Consider the following 24,493-nt stretch of genomic DNA (forward strand, 5'->3'; position numbering starts at 1 on the left):
CCTCAGGATGACCTCACCACTGGCAGCCCTCTTTCTCCTACTGAGATGTTTCCAGGACTAATGCCAATGTTTAGTCCACTTGTAGGAATCTAAAATATTAGGCTTTTGATTTCAAGAACACAAAATAGGCTGAGGTGGGCGGATCACAAGGTCAGGAGATCAAGACCATCCTGGCTAACACAATGAAGCCTTGTCTCTACTAAAAATACAAAAAATTAGCCGGGCATCGTGGCACATGCCTGTAGTCCCAGATACTTGGGTGGCTGAGGCAGGAGAATCACTTGAATCTGGGAGGCGGAGATTGCCCCGAGCCAAGGTTGCACCTCTGCACTCCAGCCTGGGTGACAGAGTGGGACTCTGTCTCAAAAAACAAACAAACAAAAACAAAGGGATCCATTCTGGAATAGTACATAACTGATTTAATCCTAATGTAATGTCAAAACAACTTTCCCCAGCAGTTAAGAGAATGCCTCATCTATCACAGATACAATTGCTTTGTAGATGCCATGAGCTCTTCCAACAAATTGTTGGGCAGTTCTGTTCGTGAATTCACAGAATTCTCCATCCCAGACACATTTCTTTGGGGTAATTAAAATTAAAATGGTCTTTTCATGAAGGCAGTATGAAACAATATGCATCATCTATATACGCTGAGCTGAAAAAATATTGTATTCATAAATTAAATTGGACATTTTGAAAGGTTAACACAAAATGCTACTTTGCTCTTGGTAATCAATAAGGAAAAAAAGACTTCAGGTAATTAAAATCTGTGAAGTGAACATTTCTCATTTGGAACCTATTAAGAATATAAGCAGACAGAGGCAAGAGATAAATAAGGAAAACAAATGAATCAAAATTTTTTGTTATGTTTTGGCAAGGGAATGTAATGATATATAGCCTGAGGTCTGAAGTGATATAACCTGTTATTGCAGATAATACAACATTTACATTACACGGTATGTATAAAACATATGTATATTACTTAATTTAAATATTAGGCCGTGATTTTAAAATATGACTGTTCTATATGTCAGGCTCCAGTTTAGGTTGTTTAGGGCCTCCTTACTGAAATTTTGGCCTACAAACCAGCATGCAGCAAGGGTGCTTGCCAGAAGTGCAGAATTTCAGGTTCCTTTTTAGCTCTGTGTGCCATCTTTTTGTAATCTCAGGTTTTATAGTCTCCTTTATCAATTGTAAGAGGTGTGGGAGGCTAGTTTATATCTTTCAGAAGGGACACCTGGGTCAACAGGTTTAAAGAACTTTGAAAGTTATTTGTATCTTTGCCAGTAACTGCATTGTGTGAGAATCGCTGTAGCTGGTGTGTAAACTACCTTTGAATAAGAGGCAGCAAATGGAATTTATCAGGGGACAATGCCCTTTGTTTAGAAGGAGCAACAAAAGATGAATAAAAGGACACAGCCAGTCTTCTGAATCAGAATCAGCAATGTAATCATGTCTCCAGGGGATTCACAAGCACACTAAAGTTTGAGACGCATGGGCTTGGATGACTCCTTTATAGTAAGGTGAGTCGCCTCTTAAAAAGTCCTGTGCATTTTTTACGGCCCAAGTCAGTAGTTTCTTGGCTAAATATGACGGTAATAACTGATTCTACAGAGGGCCTAAGAGTTAATGTGTCTTCTATAGCACCTGCCTTTCTATCATGCACAACTAAGGAAAATACTGAGAATGAAGACAGACTCCATGCCCAACACAACTTGCTTCTGAGCCCTGGTTGTACAACTTTTCATTTTGTCTAACAGCAATATTCTTTTCTCTTTGTCATTTGCCTATTGAAATTTGTTCTGTTGCAAGGGTGCAGGGTTTTTATAACCTAGACTTTAGATATTGTTGCGGTGTGAGTTTTTGGATTCTTTTGCTGGCATAATCTCAGCTCCTTAGAATTTTTCTAGAATTTTGACCTTGCTTATAGATACTAGATTTTGAAGCAGCTGAATGCTTGTCCTTCCTTACTACTTGCCCTCCTGGCTTCTTTGGAACCATCTAGCTAGTGACTGGAGGGAGAGTGGGGGCTTGGTTCCCATTTTGGTCCACTCTCAGCTGAGGGTACCTCAGATCAGAAAGCACCTCTATGCCAGCTCTGTGGTGCAATGGATAGTGTGTTGGCCTTCTAGCTGAGTCTGATGTGTGTATTCGACAAAAGCAGTACCTCTAGATGACTGTCTACCATGCCATTGCTTCTTGGTGATATAAACCACAACTACATGTGCTCCTTGGCTAGATCAGTCCTTAGGTTGCCTGCCTATGATTCCTGCTTCCCTCATTTAGCCTTCTGGTTTTAGGCACACCACTTCTGCTAGGTAGAATGTATGCTGGAGTATAAAATTAATTGTGCTTTCCATTCGGTTTTCATACAGCTCTTAGGACATTGAAGTACTTTATGCTTCTTTTTAGTTAACATGGAGCTGCAAATATGTATTGTTTTATGATACAATAAATATTTTTGAGAAGGGTTAAAATATATGGCTTCTGGGTAATAAATATTAATTATCTATCTATCTCTATAATTATTTTTTCCAGTGAAGAGTTAGGCCCTGTTCTGTGTGGTGTGCAGTATAAAGATGAATTATAAAATACATGGTCTAGAGCACCTGGTGTACATAACTGCAATACAGGGAGGCCACTATATAAATGCTATGGAAACGTAAGTGACAAGAAGACCATTAAGTGTTTAGAGTAGGAAGAAAGCTCACATGGCTTGGTATTTAGGAAAAGGTTCAAAGAAGACACAATATCTGAATAAAACAGAAATAGTCTAGGGAAATGATATTTCCAGCCCAGGGCATAGGAAGGGTACAGATGCTAAAACAGATTTATATAAGATGCACCTAGAACCATACTAAACATTTAGGTGAAGTTGAATATCTGTGAAAGCCAGTGGTGGAAGACAGGGAAATCTGAACACAATGTACTAAACATATGAACTGGATCCCTGGAAGGAGCAGAATTGTTAGAGATGAAAGTGGGAGAAAAATAGTGCAAGGATACAAAGTTTAGCAACCAAAATGCCTGACTACTAATGATTAGCCATGGAAAGGTCCAAGTTAGCAATGAAGAAACGTACATAAAGTCATTCTTTTTTTCATTCTGAGTAAGGTTTCTTATTCATAGGGAAAAAGGATATACTAAAAACCAATGGCACCATCAAGTTTATCCCAAACCACGTTAACACATAGACAAAACAATACATGGGCCATATGTTTTGCCAAATGCATCTAATAGATTGAGAATCCAGAAAACCCATTGATTAAGCTTTGCAGCTCAGGACAGAGGAAGCAAGGAACAATGATTTGTTCTCATGAACCAGAAGAGAACAAGTAAGATGAGCTGAATGGGGAATAGTATGATGGAGGAAGCACTTTTCCAGGGCTTAAGACAGGGAGTACAGTAAAAACTATGACCCAGTTCATGATGTGACTTTTGGCAAGTCACTTCAAATTCCTGGGCTTCAGTGTCTTCATCTGTAGAAGGACAATAATCTCTGTAATTTTTTCCTAGGTCGAACGTTTTTTAAATCTATGATTCATGTGGAAATTCCTGGTCAATACGAATACATAATACCTAATTTTCTACTTCCTTTGAAGGTCACAATGAATAAACAAAATCTGATTCAGAGACTATGCCAAGCCAGGTGATAAGGTAGGTAGTTTAAATTTCTTTCTCAATATCAAAATAATGGAATTTATGTTGAATCTTTCTGTTATTTTGATTCACAAGGAACCATTGTTGGATACTCAGGTGCTCAGGTATTAGTGGTAGAAGTGCAAAGGCAGAGTTTGAGAAGAAGCCCCAGTGGCCCTAAGACTCCTATTCACTGCCTTTATGGCCTGTTGGGCTGATCAGAGGAGGATGAGAGGAGAGTACAAGTTAGAAGCTACGAGTTGGGGACTCCTAAGGTGGGTTTGTGAGCAGGACATGATGTTGGGCATCCAGAAAAGTAGTCTAGTCCTAGCCCCTGCCTTAGTCCATGATGCTTACACTTCAAGTTACGTTTTTTTTTTGTTTGTTTTTTTTTTGTTGTTTTTTTTTTTTTTGGTTCATACTATGAAAGATTTTAACACAATTTGTGATTAAGACTTTTGCTGTCAAGTGTCAAATAGTTTATGCACCTCAGGGAATGTCTGCCAACCAAATAGTTTCAATGGAATACTTTTTTAAAAATATTCAGTGTCTATAATCACCTCTAATTACAATTTTCTGCACAGTCTACTCCGAAAAAAAAAATGGAAACATATTAAGAGTTGTATTTTCATAACGCTATTCACAATTAATGACAAGTAATTAAAATTCCTAAGTGTTTAAATGTCACGGTAAAGACAATGCTAATTTGACCTTCTTCAATTTTTATATGGAGGCTTGTGAAGTTTGGGCAGGATGAAGGGAAAAGAACCTTTTATTCCCAAAGGCTTTAAAAACCTGCGTTTAGTAGGCACTGTGTGCCATCTTTTTGTAATCTCAGGTTTTATAGTCTCCTTTATCAATTGTAAGAGGTGTGGGAGGCTAGTTTATATCTTTCAGAAGGGACACCTGGGTCAACAGGTTTAAAGAACTTTGAAAGTTATTTGTATCTTTGCCAGTAACTGCATTGTGTGAGAATCGCTGTAGCTGGTGTGTAAACTACCTTTGAATAAGAGGCAGCAAATGGAATTTATCAGGGGACAATGCCCTTTGTTTAGAAGGAGCAACAAAAGATGAATAAAAGGACACAGCCAGTCTTCTGTGTTTAGTGTCCCATTTTTCCAGATAAAAAAGGGGATAATATTCTATCTTGATCCTGTGCAGAGGCCTTGAGTACATTAAGGAGATGAAGAAAGAAGAGAAATGAAAAGGAAATAAAGCAACCAATGTGTTCTTGAACTGTGACTTCAAGTAGCTGCATTTAAAAAACAAACATTACATTTTGTGGGTATATCTGTGAGGCTTATCCATTATGTGTGCAAACACAATCTGATTAGTATTTGTTATAAGTTCGTCTTGTCTGCTTTTATTACAGACATCACCTTCAGATGTGGGACCACTGCAGCTATTAAATCAGGAATATTTAGCTATTATTTGTAATAAATGTCAGCAGGGCTGAACTGAAGCCAGCAGGAAATGTTCAGGGCAGAAAACACACTGACATTCATTCATGCAAATTTGTACCACGGGTAGAATTAATCATAAAGAGGGAGGGTAGAGCATACAATGCATTTATATTACTGGTTTGGCCAATTCCCTTCTTCCTGAATATGAGAGTTATAATGTACAGAAAGCAATCTGCTGACAGTCCCATGTGAAGTGCAGGCAGCGAGATTAACTTTCCCAAGCAGGCATGTCTGGGTCTATTGCAGACCATCCCTCCTTCCCCACACTGTCCGTGGTCCTCTGAGGCAGCATTGCAATGTCCTTTTTCCTCTTTAAAAGAGATCTAGATTTATCATCCACATAACTCTTCCCTCTTAAAATTACAGGGACACTCTAAAAAACATTCCCTGCATACTACTGAGGGTGGGACCAGCTTACCCTATTATAAATTAGAGTGCTTATGTCACATGGGGAAGATGTGGCCTCAGGAACTAGGTTGTTGACTATTAAGAAACTCATTTACCAAAAACGAACAAATTTTAATCTTCCTCAGTCTCCCTTGGTGTAAAACGAGGCTAAACAACCCGTACAACTGAATAATTTAATCTCCACAGAGAAGATTGTAATCACCATGATCAAACACAGCTCTCACTTACACTGAACGTCAAGGAGTATAATTTAATTCTATGAGTAAGTAAAGTTAACAGCAGAAAAGAATTAGTGCATTAATTTTTTTTAGAAAGGTGAGAAAAATACAGGATGAAGGTATATCTTTAAATTTTTCTCATTTTCTTGTTACATGAAATTATGATTCACCAGGAAACAAAAACTACTGAAAGGAGTTGACAGAAAAATTATAGGTGACTTGAAAGATACTAATTATTCTTGTGCTTTAGTCTTATGATTTTTTTTTTTTTGAGACGGAGTCTCACTCTGTCACCCAGGCGGGAGTTGCAGTGGCGCGATCTCGGCTCACTGCAAGCTCTGCCTCCCGGGTTCACGCCATTCTCCTGCCTCAGCCTCCCAAGTAGCTGGGACTACAGGCACCCGCCACCGCACCTGGCTAATTTTTTGTGTTTTTAGTAGAGACGGGGTTTCATTGTGTTAGCCAGGATGGTCTTGATCTCCTGACCTCGTGATCTGCCCACCTCAGTCTCCCAAAGTGCTGGGATTACAGGCGTGAGCCACCGTGCCCGGCTGGGTGCTAAAACCTTTCTTTATTTTTAATTCATCTTTGGAACCAAAAGATTGTTTTATCTCCCACATCAATTGCCTGCAGCTTCTTCTCCTCTTAAAAACTTGCTCCCTTTGCTCTCTGAAGGCAGTTACTTCACTTTCCTGTGTATACTCCCCTTTTCGTCTTGAGACAGCTCTCTTCTCTCTACACCCAAAGAAAAATGAGTGTTCAGTCTCTAGAGAGACTAGTTAATGTTTTCCCTTCCCCTTTTAAAAGACTGTGATTCTGCTTTAAATAATAAGCATAGCCCAATTTACAAAGTAAAAATTTTATAAGGGAGATGATATGAAACACATTTTATACAGAAGTGTCAGGCTCTGTTCTAAACGCCTCCGTGTTCACTTATTTACATTAATACACAACATTTTTACGAGAAAATGGGAGCACAGAGAGGGCAAATAACTTTCTCAAGCTTACACATTTGTTAAGTGCATACTGGAATCAAATTCCCAGCGATTTGGTTTCAGAATCTGTACTCTTAACTACTATGCTATGCTGCCTCTCAAATGCTCTTTGCAGGGTAATACAGCAACTAGAGTGAATGCGATTACTGAATAAAACTGAATCTAAATTTCCTGGTGGTGCTAGCAAATGATGAAATGCACTGTCACTTAATTTTCGTTGTGCTTGAAGAATGATTTTATGAAATGGGCAATGAATCAACCTCCATATTATAACAGAAGATTCAAAGAGTTGTTTTTGAAGACACTTTAGCTTCCCAAGTTGGGCAGATGGCCTAAATCACCTCTTCATCAGGAGCCTTATGTCAGTGTCAACTTTGATTTATCTGAGCTTTATTTAAGAAGGTAGCATTTTCTTTCCACTTGAGTATTCTCATTGAGCCTTCAAATTTAAACAGTAAAACCAATGGATGTGTCTTTTAGGATAAATCACGTTGGCCTTCTGTAGCCACTCCTCTATCCCCATAATTTCTTCTATGTTTGTTGCAGTCTTGTGTAGTGTAGTGGTTAATTTTAGATGTCAACATGGCTGGGCCATGGTGTCCAGAAATGTGGCCAAGCATTATTCTGGATGTTTCTGTGAGAATGTTTTTGGATGAGATTAATATTTCAATCATTAGAATTTGAGTAAAGCAGATTGCCCCCATAATATGGGTGAGTCTCATCCAATCTGTTGAATGCATGAATAGAACAAAAGACTGACCTCCTGTCAGTGAGAGGAAATTCTGCCAGCAGATGGCTTTAGACCTTGAACTGCAGCATCAGCTCTTGTTGGGTCTCCAGCCTGCCAGCCCACCCTGCAGATTTTGGACTTGCCAGCCTCCAAAACCTCATAAGCCAATTCCTTAAAATAAATATCTTTCTATGTATGTCTATACACGCATCCTATCAGTTCTGTTTCTCTGGAGAACCCTGACTAATACAATAGCCATGTGCTTCAGGGGAGGTTGGTCTTCCATTTCAGCCATAGGAGGTGAAAGTGAGAAGTGAGGGAAATTCTTCTGGGGACATTTTGGGAAATATTTACTCAATGATGAAAGATGATACAAAAGAGGAGACCCTTCCTTTTATCACACTGGACTTTGTTGGCAGTTGTGATGCCAGGAACCATGCTGTTCAATTCAGATGACGGAAGAAGGTAGCCAGGGGAACCAAGGCAATACTCGCAGGATGGCAGAGCAGAAAGCTGAGATTCTGGGTGCCTGAGATATCATTTAGCTGCTGAATGGGTCAACCTAAGAATTGAGTTTAGAACTTTTTGACATACAAAATAATAAATATCTATATTGTTTAAATTAATCCTAGTTGAGTTATTTTATTTGCTGCTGAAATATTGTTTACTATAATATATGTCTCTAGGGAGTTGAACTAATTGGCCTGCTATGTGTAGTAATTAGGTATTGATTGCCAAATAAACTTAAAACCCCATAGGAATATAGGTCTAGGCAGTTAATGTGTTTGAACAATAAGGTGTGGTGGGGCTTACGGAGTACCTGAGGAGGGTATAATCTACCTAAAGGGACAAATACTCAGCTCCTAAAAATTGCTACCATTGGAAAATTCTATGCTGGTATTGTATTTTTTAGCAGATCTGAAAATCTGGATTTTTCTGTGGAGTCTCTGAATTTTTGAATGTTTATAATTCAATTTATAAAAAGAAAATTCAGGTGGGCCAACAATCAAGGTTGAAGACTGGGTTCCATTTACATGCATCTAGTTTGTATTTTCTGTGGAGAATTTACAAATAGAATGCTTTCTTGTCTAATTTTATGTTATGTAACTAGTGTTTACCTCTTCTCCATTATACTACATAGGTAGTAGGACTAATGATTTCTTAAGGCTGTTGTTGGATAACAACAGAAAGACTACTTTGCCTGAATATGGAAGAATATTTATCTTCCCATTTGTTTTAATTTAAAGCATTGTAAAGCAACTGAGATATAAAGTTTAAAACAGAAATAATATGGAGCATATTTTTTAAACCACCATTTAAGTTTGTTATTTGCCTTTCAGAAGACCATTTCCTCTGCTGAGATCTATGAATTTTATTTCCATTTTGTTTTGAAACATGCTTGCTGATTTAGCGACATAGTCCATCTAGATTTTAAATTCAATTTACGTGAATATAAAAAAATTCCTATGCTGCTCTGGTGATTTTTTTGACACTGGTAAAATTATATAACCTTCTGAAAATTATATATTTTTCCTATCAGTAGCATATAAAAGTTGAGAATGAAAATCGTTACCATTCTTTTCAACTAAGATACAATGATTCCTTTTGGTTAATGACAATAGATGACAAATGTACAGTTTGGGGAGATAGCTGATGATATTATCTTTGTAATGATTCAAGATTAGGAATATTATCTTTTAAATAACTTGTAATGGGGTCAATTTGTGAAGTCATCTAAGCCCTTAAACTTTTCATAATTCCAACTCGAATAACATTTTTGGGATAAGAAGTTCCGTATGTTCTGTAATAAGCAAATAATGTAGTGCTTCCTTTTATTTATCCCCAAATATAGATTTTTAAAATGGACCACAAACATAAAAATAGGTGTATAACTTGTCCTCATAGATGGGACTGTGTCATCACACTATATTTCTTTGCACAGTTAAAAATACTTTAAGCCTATAAAAGTGTAATGAAATGGATATAGTGATATTCCTGTTATTCAGTGCAGTGGTAAAAAAAATAGTAGTAACAACTCATGCCAGCATGGTATCATTTATCGAAGACAACTTACACTTTCTCTAGGATATGGGTCCTGCACGCACATGACAAAGGCATTCTGAATTTTCCTTTTGATTTGCTTGTATCTCTTTTCAGGCTCTTGGCTAATTATGCCAAATTCTATAGATCAGTCTTCTATGTGAATGGAACAAATATATGTTAAGTAGGATAGAAGTTTCTTATTGAATGTGTACACAGAATTCAATGACTAACAAATATGACTTAACTGCTTAGGGAAGGAGAATGAAATCAAAATGCTTCAAACACTGAGCCTTGGTGTTCACAATGAATTGAAATAATCTGGTCTTCATTAAATGTGGAGTTCCCACCTGCTTGAAAAGACTTTTTATCATGTAGGGATTTTGATGCTCTCCACTTTATATTCTAGGTGTTTAATGACCATTCATGCAAAATAGAATCTTTAAGGAAACACTGACCCAAGTTGATTTATTTTGAGGTTGAATTATTTTAAAATTTTAATCATCATCTGAAGTTACTTTTTGCCATGTGCAGGACGAGGAAATTTTTAGAAGTCCTGGAAGCAGTAGGGTAGGAATGGGAATTTTTGTGTTTATTAAATTTAATTTGAAAGCTCCCACATTCGATTCCTCAGCTAGCAATTTTAAATCAGAGCATTTATATTGGTTAAAAATTAAATTTTTCCTGGGTGCGGTGGCTCTCCTGTAATCCCAGCAATTTGGGAGGACAAGGCAGGCAAATTGCTTGAGGTCAGGAGTTCGCGACCAGCCTGGCCAACATGGTAAAACCCTGTCTCTACTAAAAATACAAAAATTAGCCAGGTGTGGTGGTGGGCACCTGTAATCCCAGCTACTCGGCATGCTGAGGCAGGGGCATCGCTTGAACCCGGGAGGCAGAGGTTGCAGTGAGCTGAGATCGCACCACTGCACTCCAGCCTGAGTGACAGAGTGAGACTCCATCTCAAAAACAAACAAATAAATAAAAAAAATAAATTAAATTTTTACCATAGCTAAAAGGTTGATTTATTCTTCTTTGTCCTCAACCGCTCTTATGAAAAGAATGAATATGAAATGTTTTTGTGAAATTCCTACAGTGTATCAATTTTATTATTTTGGCAGCTGTGATTTCTCTGGTTATTTGAATATGACCTAGTGATCCCATATGGCTGTAATATGAAGTACTTAAATCTCCTCCAGTTGAAGTAGAAAATATGTCAGAACTCATTAAGAAGTTATCCATATACTGTATTGATTTTTATAAATTGCTTCTTAAATTATAGTTCAGCATGACACACATGAACATCACTGAGATCAGGTATTATTTGGACTAAATTAACACATTTTGCAAGTAGTTACTGTCATAGCTATTCTCTGATGCTATGCCATGATAATCCTTGTCCTTTGGTAAATTATTTAAAACCCAGACTTTTATTTTTATTCTCATCAAAGGTATATGTTGAATAAATTGTATTTATTGTTATGTTATAGACGTCAACCCTGGTGCCTAACAAATTATGACCCTTCTCAGGTCAATCTTCCCTATCCACAGCCATTGTTGAAGAATCCAACCTGTGCAGATGATGAAGTTCTAGCCCCCTTGATTTAGCTGATTGACCCTAGGAAGGTACTGGTAGCATAAGCAAAGCCTGGTGTGGAAAGGTATTCTAGGTCTATCATATTCTCTGTTGGGAATTTGAATTTGAAAACGGGGATGTAATTAGTGATTAATAAGGGTAAGAGGGTAAAGCTGAATGATCTCATGGGATAGAGGTAGAACCCTGAGTTATGACTAGAAGCCAAAGTTCCGAGGAAGCAGAACTCTGCCTAAGCAGAAGTTACAAAGAGGAGAAAGGATTGCAGATCTGTCTCTAGCTGTATGAACAGGAATAACAAAACATGTAATTGGCGAGTAACCAAATTAGGTAATGCCAGAACAGTGGTGTAAAGATTCTGCCACGTTACAAGGATTTTGCCTTTCTGGACACCAGAGTGTCTTGGGTTTCTGTAGCCATATATCCTTAGGGTACATGACCCATTACATAAGATAATTGAAGTATGTTTCTATTTCTTGAACTAGACAACTATATATATATATATATATTTTTTTTTTTTTTTTGACATGGAGTCTTGCTCTGTCACCCAGGCTGGAGTGCAGTGGAGCGATCTTCGCTCACTGCAAGCTCTACCTCACAGGTTCACGCCATTCTCCTGCCTCAGCCTCCCAAGTAGCTGGGACTACAGGAGCCCACCACCACGCCTGGCTAATTTTTTGTATGTTTAGTAGAGATGGGGTTTCACCATGTTAGCCAGGATGGTCTCGATCTCCTGACCTCATGATTGGCCCACCTCGGCCTCCCAAAGTGCTGGGATTACAGGCGTGAGCCACTGTGCCCGGCCTACATTTTTTTTTTTTTTTTTTTTTTTGTTGAGACATGGTCTCACTCTATTGCCCAGGCTAGAATGGAGTGACGCTGTCATGTCTCACTGCAACCTCAACCTCCAGGGCTCAAGTGATCCTCCTGCCTCAGCCTCCCGAGTAACTTGGACTACAGGTGGATGCCACTGCACTAGGCTATTTATTTTTATGAAGGCAGAGTCTTGCTATGTTGCCTAGGGTGGTCTTGAACTCCTGGCTTCAAACAATCCTCTTGCCTTGGCCTTCCAAAGCACTGGAATTACAGGTGTGAGCCACCATGGTGAGCCCAGAATCTACTATTGACATGAAGTATTTTTTAGCTTTCTAATATTATAAAGCAAATAGAATCCTGTATACTTTAAGAAATGGTGGGAGCTAAAGTGTCTTTCACAATTTCCTCTCATCCTCTTCATTCCCCATTGTTACCCACTGAGACAACTCTGTAGACTCTCTTCCCTCTTCATAGAGTTTAAAACCCACTGATCTGAACTAAAGACACAGATAAGCTCATAAATAAGTGATGAATAAAAACGTGGGATCCAGTCATACCGAGGTATTTTTTTCTTTTGGTGGATTTGGAGAATTATTTTATCACAATTTCTGTCATTACACTCATTTCTACCATGATCACATGCAATATCACAAAATTTCATGCAACTATAATCTTGATAACTCTAGCTTAAACCGCTTCCCTGAACCCAGACTCCTCTGTCCAATTGCCTACTGTCTTAGTCCATTTGTGTTGCAATAAAGGAATGCTTGAGACCAGAAATTTTATAAAGAAAAGAGGTTTATGTGGCTTACAGTTCTGAAGGCCGTACAAGAAGGATGGTACCAACATCTGCATCTGGTGTGGGCCTCAGGAAGCATACACTCATGGCAGAATATATACCCTCATGGCAATGGGGAGCAGGCACCATGTGGGGAGAGAGGGATGGAAGGAGAAGACAGGGAGGTGCCAGACTCTTTCCAACAACCAACGCTCTAGAAAACAAACAGAGCAGAACTCACTCATTACCATGGCACCAAGTCTTTCATGAGGGATCTGCCCCCATGACCCAAATACCTCCCAGTAGGCCCTGCCTCTAACACTGGCAATCACATTTCAACATGAGATTTGGAGAGACAAATATGCAGACTATATTTACCTACCAATTATCCCTTTATATGTCTAATAAGCATTTTGTAAAGTAGTGGAAAAAATTAAATCATTATAGAAAGCAGTTGTATAGCTATACTGAACTTAAGAGAAAATGTTCTACCAGCTGGTAACATATATATGTTGAATCTGGTAATTTGGCTAAAGCAAAGCATCATAGATGTTACAAATTAATGTTAATTTTCATATGTTGATTTATAGCTCTGATCATATTTAATTCACAGTTTTGGTTTATATTTATATTTATTAATATAACAAGTTTATATATCAATTTATGTTTTAAATATTTAAATAACTCTAAAATAAAATGTATCCTTGAGAACCCTTGACAGACACCATTATCACATGTTAACATTATATGTTATTCACAGAATAGCCTTTTCTCTGCAAGCATCTTAATAACAAAATTTTTTTAATTAGACATTTTTAGAATGGGAGCTGCATGATTTTGTTGAATAAAGCAGGATAAATTCATGACACTTCTTTGATGTATCAAGGTAGAAAAGCAATTTTTAAAACCAAACAAAGTGTATACAAATATTCCTTCCACCCCCTTTATTTCTAACTCTTACCAAGTCTTGGAAGGCAAAGGTTATGATTAGAATGTTTATTGGGGAGTTATTTGGCAATATAAATAAAAAAGCTAAAAGGTTAATTTTGGAGAATGTAACAACTTCAAAAATGTTGATTTGCTGAAAATAGTTGGTTTATTGGCAGCTGGATTTTCTTGTAGGAGTACACGCTTTTGTTTTCTTTTCATCTCCTGTTCTTCAATAATTGTGTTATGGCAAAAAGGTAGAAATGATGGTTAAGTGGAGGAAGCTAAAAGTGAGATAGAGGATAAACAAGGGAATTGTAAAATAAAATGGAATTCCACTGATAGTGGTAACAAAAAACGAAAGCTCTCCTTGCTGCTAGTATTGCCTTTATCACTGGTAATATTAGTAAAATAATCTCCAGAATGTAACTCAGTAGAAGTACTTCTGCTGTTACATTTTATGTAATTGTAGAAGGATTGTTTATAGAAAAATGAGGCTTCTTAAATGGCAACTGTGTGTAAGAGTCTTTAAGAGGTGCTTCACACATAATTTTACATTTACAAAAGTCTTCAAGGTCTGTGTTGTTACCCTGTTTTGCAGGCTATGAAACAGAGGTACCAAGCTGTTAAGTAATAATGCGCCCTGGGTTAGACAATGTGTACTAAACTTAGGTTTCAAACCCAGGATTGACTGCCTTCCAAGTTCATACTGTGACCATTACATCCCTTTAATAAAAACAAAAAATATGACCATGGGATGCAAGGCATTTGTTAAAACTTAAGGCCTATGTTCTTGTAAACTTGTTCTAATGCCAATTCCTATTATTTATGTTCTAATAGTATTTGGACAATTGTCTACATTTTAAACCTTCAAAGGTAACTAATTTAAAGATAAAGGAATATTTTTATGTTTATAATTTCTAAGACATCAAAATAAAATAAATAGAGTTATTTTTTTAGTTGCACTTTTTAGACTATATACTAAAAAAAAAGTAATAGTGACTGAAATACCTGTCTCTTATCTTGAGCTGGTTGTCTTTCAAGTGTCCATAATGATGTATTTAACATTCTTACAGTATGAGGACCAATATACTAGTCATTTGTTATGTTTAACATTATCAGTATTACTCTTACTACTAGTTCCCCAAAGTAGAGACTTTATTGGTGCAGTAAATCATTTTCAGGACTACTGAATTTCTTCCTTCATTTCTCCATGATAAAGCAGTACTTCCTATTTAGCCATGGTTTTCAACACCAAAAAGCAATTCCAGTATTTATTTTTAGGAACTCTGTAAATTCTGCAGATATCAAGGAAAAGATGGTGGTGTGTGCCTCTTAAAAGACTAAACGAGAATTGGCAAGCACAATAGTTTCCCCAACCCAACAGCCACCTCCTTCTAGCACTGGCTACCTAGAAGCCTAGGGTCAAATTTGTTTATTTATTTGTTTTTATTTTTTTGAGATGGAGTTTCACCCTGTCGCCCAGGCTAGAGTACAGTGGTGTGATCTCAGCTCACTGCAACCTCCATCTCCCGGGTTCAAGTGAACCTCCTGCCTCAGCCTCCTGAGTAGCTGGGACTACAGGCACGTGCCACCACGCCTGGCTAATTTTTGTATTTTTAGTAAAGACAAGGCTTCACCATGTTGGCCAGGCTGATCTTGAACTCCTGACCTCAGGTGATCTACCTACCTTGGCCTCCCAAAGTGCTGGGATTACAAGTGTGAGCCACCACGCCTGGCCTAGGGTCAAATTTAAAACACAGTTGTTGTAACTAATTCCTATTCCTGGTTTAAAAATCCTTTCTCATTTTTACAAGTTTTTAATTTTATTCCTGAAATTTGTTTTGTTGTCCTGTACTTATATGTGCATTTCTTGGGTAATATGTTTATATTTTAGATAGTCTCCAATTCTTTTTAGAAAGAACATATATTCTCTTTCCACTGAATAACCACAACTCTCTTGTATAAAATAAAAATAAAAGGTAATTTAGCTGTTAAATCTATGAAGCCAAGGAAAATTGTGGCTAGAGAAATAATTTATTGATGGTATTAGTGAAATTTGTCATTGTCTTACCATACTTCCTATATAATAATACTGCCTTTCAAAAAGTTACTCAAAAACGGTTGCCTTTGTAAACTTTTTTGGAGCATTGTCTTATTAGCTGCTTGAAAAATGTGAAAAGGCAAACCATAAAATGTGTATATGTTTGAAAGTTGATCTTCACCACTAAGAGGAAATAGAGGCTTTTGACTTTTGTATTCATTGCACACAGCAGTGAATGGGTGGTTATTGTATGACACCAAACATTCTGTGGTGAGATTTGCTGTAATAACAAAAACCAACAGGTTTAAACCTCAGAAATGACCTTTTAAAGGGCAGGCATTCAATTTTGACAAAAGTGTTCAACAGCAGGCTTGAGGGTAAAATATAAAAATTTTAAACCCTATAATTAGGCAGCTTATTTAAAAACACAGGATGAGAGGCACAGATGGTTCATATTAACAAAAGCAAACAAACAAAAGACTGAAAACAGGCGTATAAAACTAGCAATGGCAAGAGGTGAACTATTATACTTTAACAGACTGGCCCTAAAATATGTATGTCTTGATCAATCAGCATTTATTGTGAATTGGAGGTATAAGACAATACAAGTCATTGCTCGAAAGAAATTTACTGTCTTGTGAAGGTGATAGAACTTACATCAGTTACATAAATCTATATACCAGTGAAATAGCTATTTAAAATTATTTGTACAGGAGTATATAATAAGTTTTGGAGAAGAGAGAAAAGTCTCATGCATGAATAAATACAAATACAAATTCAAGTTGCTATGTCTCAGTACATTCCAAGAGTTATACTTCTCTCCATCTGTTCTTCTGCCAAATTATATAACACTAAAATATTGAAAAATTGTATTTATTTCCAAGAGTAATCACTGTGTTCAAACCATTAGTCTTACACTCAGAATATTTATGAAGCATCTACTGTGTCTGCATGATATTTCATTAAAAGCTATGTGAGGGTAAAATGATAGCTTTTTTTTCTTTTTTAATTTTTTTTGAGATAGAGTCTTGCTCTGTCACCCAGGTTGGAGTGCAGTGGTGCGATCTTGGCTCACTACAGCCACAACCTCCCAGGTTCAAGTGCTTCTCCTGCCTCAGCCTCTCAAGTAGGTGGGACTACAGGCACCTGCCACCATGCCCGGCTAATTTTTGTATTTTTAGTAGAGGCAGGGTTTCACCATGTTGGCCAGGCTGGTCTCAAGAACCTGACCTTAAATGATCCACCCACCTCGGCCTCCCAAAGTGCTGGGATTACAGGCGTGAGCCACCGCGCCCAGCTAGAAGATGATAGTTTGGATGGGGAGAGGTTCATAAGAAATACTATGAATGGTTTTGTTCTTACGAGGGAAGTCGTTTGTGATTATGGATGGGGAAAAAAAGGGAAATGAGAGTGAAAGTTTGTGTTCCATAAACTGTGTGTTGGGCTTGCTTTTCCTTCTTCCTTTTAGAAAATTTTCTCCTTTCTTATATTTCTCAGATACTTAAGTGCTGAGCCCAAGGTGGTTAGAGTAGAGGAAGAAAGAGATTGGATTGCTTATGGGGCAGTATTTTAGTTTTTTCTTTTCTATTGGCCTCAAATCTTGACTTGAATCTTGGTCACAGTAAATTCACCTTTGTGACTGTTCTTGACTATATTAAAAGAATTAGATTAATTTGCTTGTCTGGAGGGTTGGCATCCTTGATCCTTCCTAATTTGAGGGCCAGAACAAGGGAAGAGAAGAAGCAGCCTTCTCAAATGCCAACTGACTCTAAACTTTGGTTTTATGAATGTCCTAGGTATGTGATTGTTGTCCTTCACAGATACTTTCTGTGATAGCATGTGATGTGGTCAATAGGAAGCTCATCTATTTGATCTCTTAAATAAAGTGAATGGTTTCAAGGATGCCTGCTTATATGGAACACTATTCTATATCAAATTGCTTTTATTAACTTACTTTATAAATGGAAAAACTGAGTACCATAGAAAGTTTGGTGACTTCCTAGCACTGCTCAGCAAGTCATTGTCAAAATAATGCATACTTCTGAAATTGAATGAAAAGCCTAAAAATCAGGTACTTGTATATGTGCATTTTTTTCTCAGTCCTCATAGAGGCTCCATTATGTTTTCTGTGGCCACTTGTTTCTTTCAGCCAGCCATGCTTCAAAAGCACCAGCTCTCAGAAGCAGTAGCTCTGGGAGTAGCACCATTGGTGGCATTTGGTTCATCACTGACCTGGGAACTCTGCTCTGGACAGCAGCCCATCCACACAGACATGCCTGTGATTGACCCATAAAATGCCCTCATTCCATGAGGGCCAATACTAATCAGATTGAATGAGTTGAACAGGCCACCAGGGGTAGTAATGTGTGTGCAGAAATCACCATATTTTTCGTTTTCTAAACTATAAACTCCACTTGTCAGAATAAAGGATTTTCTTTCCATTTGCAAGATTTCTCACTCAGTCTCTGATTTCTCCATGGTTCCTCTCTGCTACATTAGCCCTGAATGAGCTGTAAATGAGATAATGTTGAGCACAGGAAGATAGGATGTTCAAGCGGACAAAGCAGGGAGGGCGATCCTTTTCACAGCAGATGTTCTAATGGCTGATTCAGTCTTCCGGGTGGTCAGCTCAGACATCAGTACTAGCACTATAGACAGTGTACCCTTCCAGCTGCTGGTACTTTTGTCATACTTACTGTTGCATTCAATGCCAGTCTGACAGCACAGTGTTGGCAGAATTTTTCTAACCTCAGGTACAGAAGAAAAGCAAAACAGTTACATGATGAATGGATTAGAGCCATTTCTTATCTCTTCTTGGAAGAAAATTTTTTCTTCTTATTCTTCAGACAAATGAGGATGAAATAAGGCAGCATGTGGTAGGGAAAGAGATGAATCAAATAATTTCCGTATGTTTCAATCAATACTAAATGCTGCATTGACATGTATTCCACTGGGAGGGTGGAACTGGGGATGCCATAGAATAATTCGAGGCTGGTATACTGAGCATTATGTGTGTCCTTCAACCAAATACCACAGGTAGTTAAGCCTTTTTTCTGTTTGCCTCTGTGGCAGGATCCTCCTTCCTGGTGGTGATAGAGAAGTATCTACAGATGTTTTCTGCAGATGTCTCCCAGTGGGGCCTCCCTCTTACTGTCTGCTTTCTCTCGTTGCCTGTTTCCTTTCTTAGTTCCCATATCTATTTGTTTCCTCCCAATGAATGTTTTGCTGCTGTTTTGTCTCTCACATCTGTTTCCTTGATCCCTTGACTCTGACTTAACTTTGTCCCCTCTTCTTCCTTGCACCTGTGAGGTAGCAAGAAGACCAGCTGTTCTTTTCCAGAACTCTTGTCAAAACTCACTTTTGGAAAATAGTTTCAGTACGTTACCACAATAATTGCATTTCTAAACACTAATAGTTGGGTATTCAAAAGAAAAAATACACATGCACATACATATAAAATAGAAATAGGCTTCCTGTCTCTAACTTAAATCACCTACTATATGTTAAATATATGCTACATTTAATGCATTCATTTATTTAATACACATTTACTAGCTAAGAGGACCCATAATTTAGATTTAGGAAGAAATTTGCCTGATCTGCAATGAAACAGTACATGGAAAAGTAAACTAACACATAAGTAAAAATCAAAACTTGGTCTATTAATATTGAAGCTGTATTTTTTTTCATCTTCCATTATGACACATAACTAGTATACTAGAGAGAATAAAAGAATCTAGTAAAAACTGCTGGACCAGATAACATATCCCGTCAACACACGGGTTTTTAAAAGCTCTGTGCAATGATAGCATATATAGTCTCTTAAATTTGTTACATATTTCCTAGAAAATCATTTTTCTCTTACTTCTTTGTACTTCTACCCTTTCTACTTTAGATTCTTCTACAAAACTTTTTGTTTTCTAATTTATTATCCCCACACTATTGCTTTTATTCTCTATTCTTCTAAACTGTCATTCAAATTATACAACTAAATAAATGTTAAAAAATTATAATTTATATCTGGTCTTGCGGTCAAAGATAGTTTGATAACATAACAAAGATTTCTTACACATTTTTCTTTAGTATATAACATATAGTTAAGACTGATACAGAAACCTTAGGATGCATTTGCAGGTAACTAGTTACATATCCAATCTTTCTGTCTCTCTATCTAGTCTTGGAACCTAAAAATACAGAAATATGCACCTTGCTAAAGACAAAAGAAGCACAGCCATGCTGGAATGCAAGAATTTGTACAGATGTTAAGGATGTGCTTCAGCCTGGTTCTCGCATTTAAGAATCAATTGTGGCCGGGCGCGGTGGCTCACGCCTGTAATCCCAGCACTTTGGGAGGCCGAGGCGGGCGGATCACGAGGTCAGGAGATCGAGACCATCCTGGCTAACAAGGTGAAACCCCGTCTCTACTAAAAATACAAAAAATTAGCCGGGCGTGGTAGCGGGCGCCTGTAGTCCCAGCTACTCGGGAGGCTGAGGCAGGAGAATGGCGTGAACCCGGGAGGCGGAGCTTGCAGTGAGCCGAGATCGCGCCACCGCACTCCAGCCTGGGCGACAGAGCGAGACTCCGTCTCAAAAAAAAAAAAAAAAAAAAAAAAAAAAAAAAAGAATCAATTGTAAAAAATAAAGAAAATTCTAAAGTGTATCGTCAGGTTCCTAGAAATAAATAGTATAAAGTAGAGGCAGAAAGGAGATGAAATGGGGGAAATAGAACAGAAGATGAAAATAAATGCCAAACTTGGAGGCATTAAAATAATTCTGTAAGCATATTTTTTACTTGAGGTTAATTCTCATTTTTGTTAGGACATTCTGTCTTCTTAATAGCAAAGAGTTGATTGACCATTTTGACCCTAATTTCCATCCTAAGCAAGTCAAAACCACAAAGGCAAATCACAGTTATTTTTTGTGTGAAAATAGTCCAGATATGGACCATTACTCTTGATGCTTGTATTTTTGTGTTAGAATATGTTTGGGGAATGCCTGTATTTGTGAACCCTATGGTTATCTAACCACTTTCTTTGCCATGATATTTGACTATATGTTGCTAAAGATGTCTGTGAACCAGTGAGAATTATCTCATTTTTGTTTTCAGTGTCTGAGGACAGAAAAGAAGCAAAGATGATATATAACAATGTTCTGTACCCAGGATTTTTAAAAAACACATACTTAACTACATAATTGGGTGACTTCATTTAGGGAGGAGAAATTAGCACACTTTATTTTAAAAAGAATGTTCCAAGGGCAAACAAGACTTTAATGAAAATTCATTAAAACATTTTTTAAAGTACTTTAAAAAGTATTTTTTAAAAGGTACTTTAAAAAGTCCTTGGGTGGAAACACACTAATTTCCAATACAAGCACCGGGTGGAAATATACTCATTTCCAATACAGACACCTCTCTGGCATCATTACATCAAGACTAAAGGACCATTTGAACCTCTCAACCACCAAGGGGAACAGAGACTTGAGCTGAGTAAAGTGAACAAATCTCTCCACTTTAGCAGATTTTTTAAAAATCAGACTTCTTTCTAAGGTTTTAAAACAAAGTTTCAGAGTTTGTCTCTCTCATGTGTTCCTCTGTAGTGTTTTTCCCCTTTCATTCTTTCATCCTGAGTGAGTAGTAAGTGTATACTTTCATAAATCAGTAGTTTTCCACTTTTATGCTCAAAAATCAGCTTTATATATGACACAACAGAAGAGTGAATATTGACTAACACATTAGCATATATCAGCAGCTCTGATTAAAAGCAATCATTGTGTGTGTGTGTGTGTGTGTGTGTATGTGAGAGAGAGAGAGAGAGACATTGTTATAAATATTTTTCTAAGCATTTTAAAAGGGAAAAAATGTGGAACTATTTGTAAAGCATAAAGAAAAGGTCTCAAGATATAAAGAAGAATTAATTTGGAGCAAATGGCCAGAATCTTATATTTGAAGATCACTTAAAATTTAATAATGGTTGAACAAGATAGTACAAAATAGAAAGGATTAAAACAAGTGGCTTGCAATCCACTTTTCTCCCAATAATTGTTACCAGAACATGAGAATAATGTATCCCCTCCCTGTAAGAAGGCAGGTGACCCACTTCAACACCATGCTGGTAACTCTCCTCTTGATATTGCTAGCAGGAGAGTCTTTATCTATAGAATGCTTAAAGTAGGATGTCCTTGTTTTAGATTGCCTATGGTAAGCAAACATAGCATCTATGGATTGATGAAACATCACTCTCTGTGACCTAATCTATTACTCTGGGTCAAAAAGTTTGTCAAATACTGAATGGAAGATCTTGTGGAGCCATATGGGAAATTCCAGAGCTTCCCCCACTTCATCTTTGCCTCTTGATTCTGGGGAAGACTTCTAATTCACGCGCGTCTCATTTGATAATCCAACCCTCTTTGTTGGTTCAAAAATAGCTTCCATTTATAATATAAGTAAATTTGACAGCATATAATTTATATATACATATATGTACATATGTAATCTCATTGAATTTTCACAAGAACTAAGTCATTGCCCTCACTTTAGAAGAGAAATGACTGAAGCTCTGAGAGGTGACTAACTTGGCTTCCATTATACAGTAAGTGGTAGAAACTGGTACCATGCTAGGACTCTTGGGGACAAATGAAATATAAAATCTGGTTTCTGGCTTCCTGCAGTAATCCTCCATCTTTCATAAAAATGGTATTCCTAGTCCCTGCAAATAACCTCAGACTTTACTACAAAGAAAGACAAGTACAAGGTTGCAGCAATAGTAACAGAAAAAGCTACTTAATGCTGTGCGTACAAACGACTTCTTTTTGGAGGACTTCTAGTTCTGGTTCAGCAAGTTAGAAGCCACCACCTCATCCCAAGAAGTTAAAAGCTGAAAAACTTAAAAATCAATAGCTCTTTTTAGATCCATCAGGGAAGTGACGTGCCAAGGAAAAACTGCTGTGCCCCAAATCTGAGAGGCAAACAGGCAGATACAGACAATCAAAACTTACCTGAGGAGAACCTACTAATAGAAATATCAGAGGGAACAATGCCTGGATAGAAAAATCAGAACTGTAATTGACAAATTGCTGAAGGCTCAGTATGGGCAGATCTGAGAGTTTGAAACCCAGGGGTGCCCAGTCATAGGGGAGGACCCACATATTTGTGTGTTTTACCTCCAGAGGCTCTACTAGGTTCTCACGGTGGATATTCAAGAACAATACCCTCATACTTTTGAAAGAAGTAGGGAAAAGTAGTAAGTAACCATTTTAAAATACAACAGAGCATTCTGTTTTTCTTAACACATCTGCTTTCAGGAGAAACTATTTTATCAGTAATACCTACTGGGGTTTTAGCAGAGCCTAATCTCCCTACAGAAAGAAAAATATCCAACTCTAGCACCCTCTAGTCATCTTCTCTACCTAAGAGGGAAAAAATATCTGAGAATCATGACATCACAGTCTTAATAAAAGACTGAGACTTAATCTTTGAATTGTAGAATGCTCCCTTCCCTCCTCCGCACCTTACTACCATGTTACTAAAAACCCATTTATAGAAGTTTCATTTCCCTGTTACACATTGTCCACTTTTCAACAAAAGATTCCAAGGCATACTAAAGGGCAAAAATGCAGTTTGAAGAGGCTGAACAAGCAACAGAACCCATGTCAGATATGACAAAGAAAGTTCAAATTATTAGATCAGGAATTTAAATAAAAAACAAATTTTTTTTTTTGCAATTTTATATGACTTCATCTTCTTCCCTTTCTTGGCATATCAATTATACTTCTTTTTTTCTTTTTTAGGGGTTGTCCTAGAGTTTGCAATATACATTTACTACGGATTCAAGGAATTTAAATAAAAAACAAAACTGTGATTAATATGTTAAGGATTTTAATGGAAAATGTAGGCAACATGCAAGACCAGGTTAATGGTAGAAAAATACAAATAATTGATATGCCAAGAAAGGGAGGAAGACGAAGTCATATAAAATTGCAATTAAATCACAAGAGACAGAAAATATGTGGAATACAAATTTAGGAATAAAGAAAAAAGGCAACAAATAGACAATAATAGTGTTATTATGATACATATGATACATATGATAAAATTAATCTAATTTTAGCCATAATCACTTCAAGCATTAATGATGTAAATACACCAATTAAAAGACAGAGATTGTCAGAGTGAATAAAAAATAAGACTCAATTATATGTTTTTTACAAGAAATTTACTTTAAATATAAAAGCATATACCGATTAAAGGGATAGAGAAAGATATGCCATACCAACATTAATCTAAACAAAATGGGAGTTGCTATATTAATTTTAAGCAGAGCAGACTTCAGAGCAAAGAAAGATATCAGGGATATAGAGGGAAATTACAGACATTACTTAATGATAAAGGGGCCAATACTCCATAAAGACATAATGATCCTTAATATATGTGTACCTAACATCAGAGTTAAAATATAGGCAAAAACTTATAGAACTACAAGGAGACAGGGACGGATGAATCCACTATTATAATAGAAGACATCAACACCCTTTTCAAAACTCAAGGTGGAAAATCAGTAAGCACATATTTAAACTCAACGCGATCAATGGACTACTTCATCCTACACCAGCAGAATACTCACTAAGACCAGATTCTGGGTATAAAAGTCAATTGCTTTTCTACAAATCAGTAATCAACAAGTGTAACTTAAATTTAAAAGACAGTACTATTTACATACTACATTATTATTTAGCACTTCCCTCCCCCAACAAATTAAATGCTTAGGTATAAATCTCAGGAAATATGTACAAAGTCTATATGTGGAAAACTACAAAGCTAACAAAAGATATCAAAGAAGAACTAAA

General features: G+C 37.1%; 1 long non-coding RNA gene across 1 annotated transcript in view; it reads left to right on the plus strand.

The window, feature by feature from the left end:
- Nucleotides 1–24,493, plus strand: part of LOC105379107 (uncharacterized) — a 339,090-nt gene that overhangs the window by 67,678 nt on the left and 246,919 nt on the right. The window contains exon 2 of the long non-coding RNA XR_001742831.2: nt 3,603–3,657. This is a non-coding gene — a long non-coding RNA (uncharacterized LOC105379107). The remainder of the gene's footprint in view (nt 1–3,602; nt 3,658–24,493) is intronic.

This window comes from Homo sapiens, chromosome 5 (genome assembly GCF_000001405.40).
Source record: "Homo sapiens chromosome 5, GRCh38.p14 Primary Assembly".
Lineage (NCBI taxonomy): Eukaryota > Metazoa > Chordata > Mammalia > Primates > Hominidae > Homo > Homo sapiens.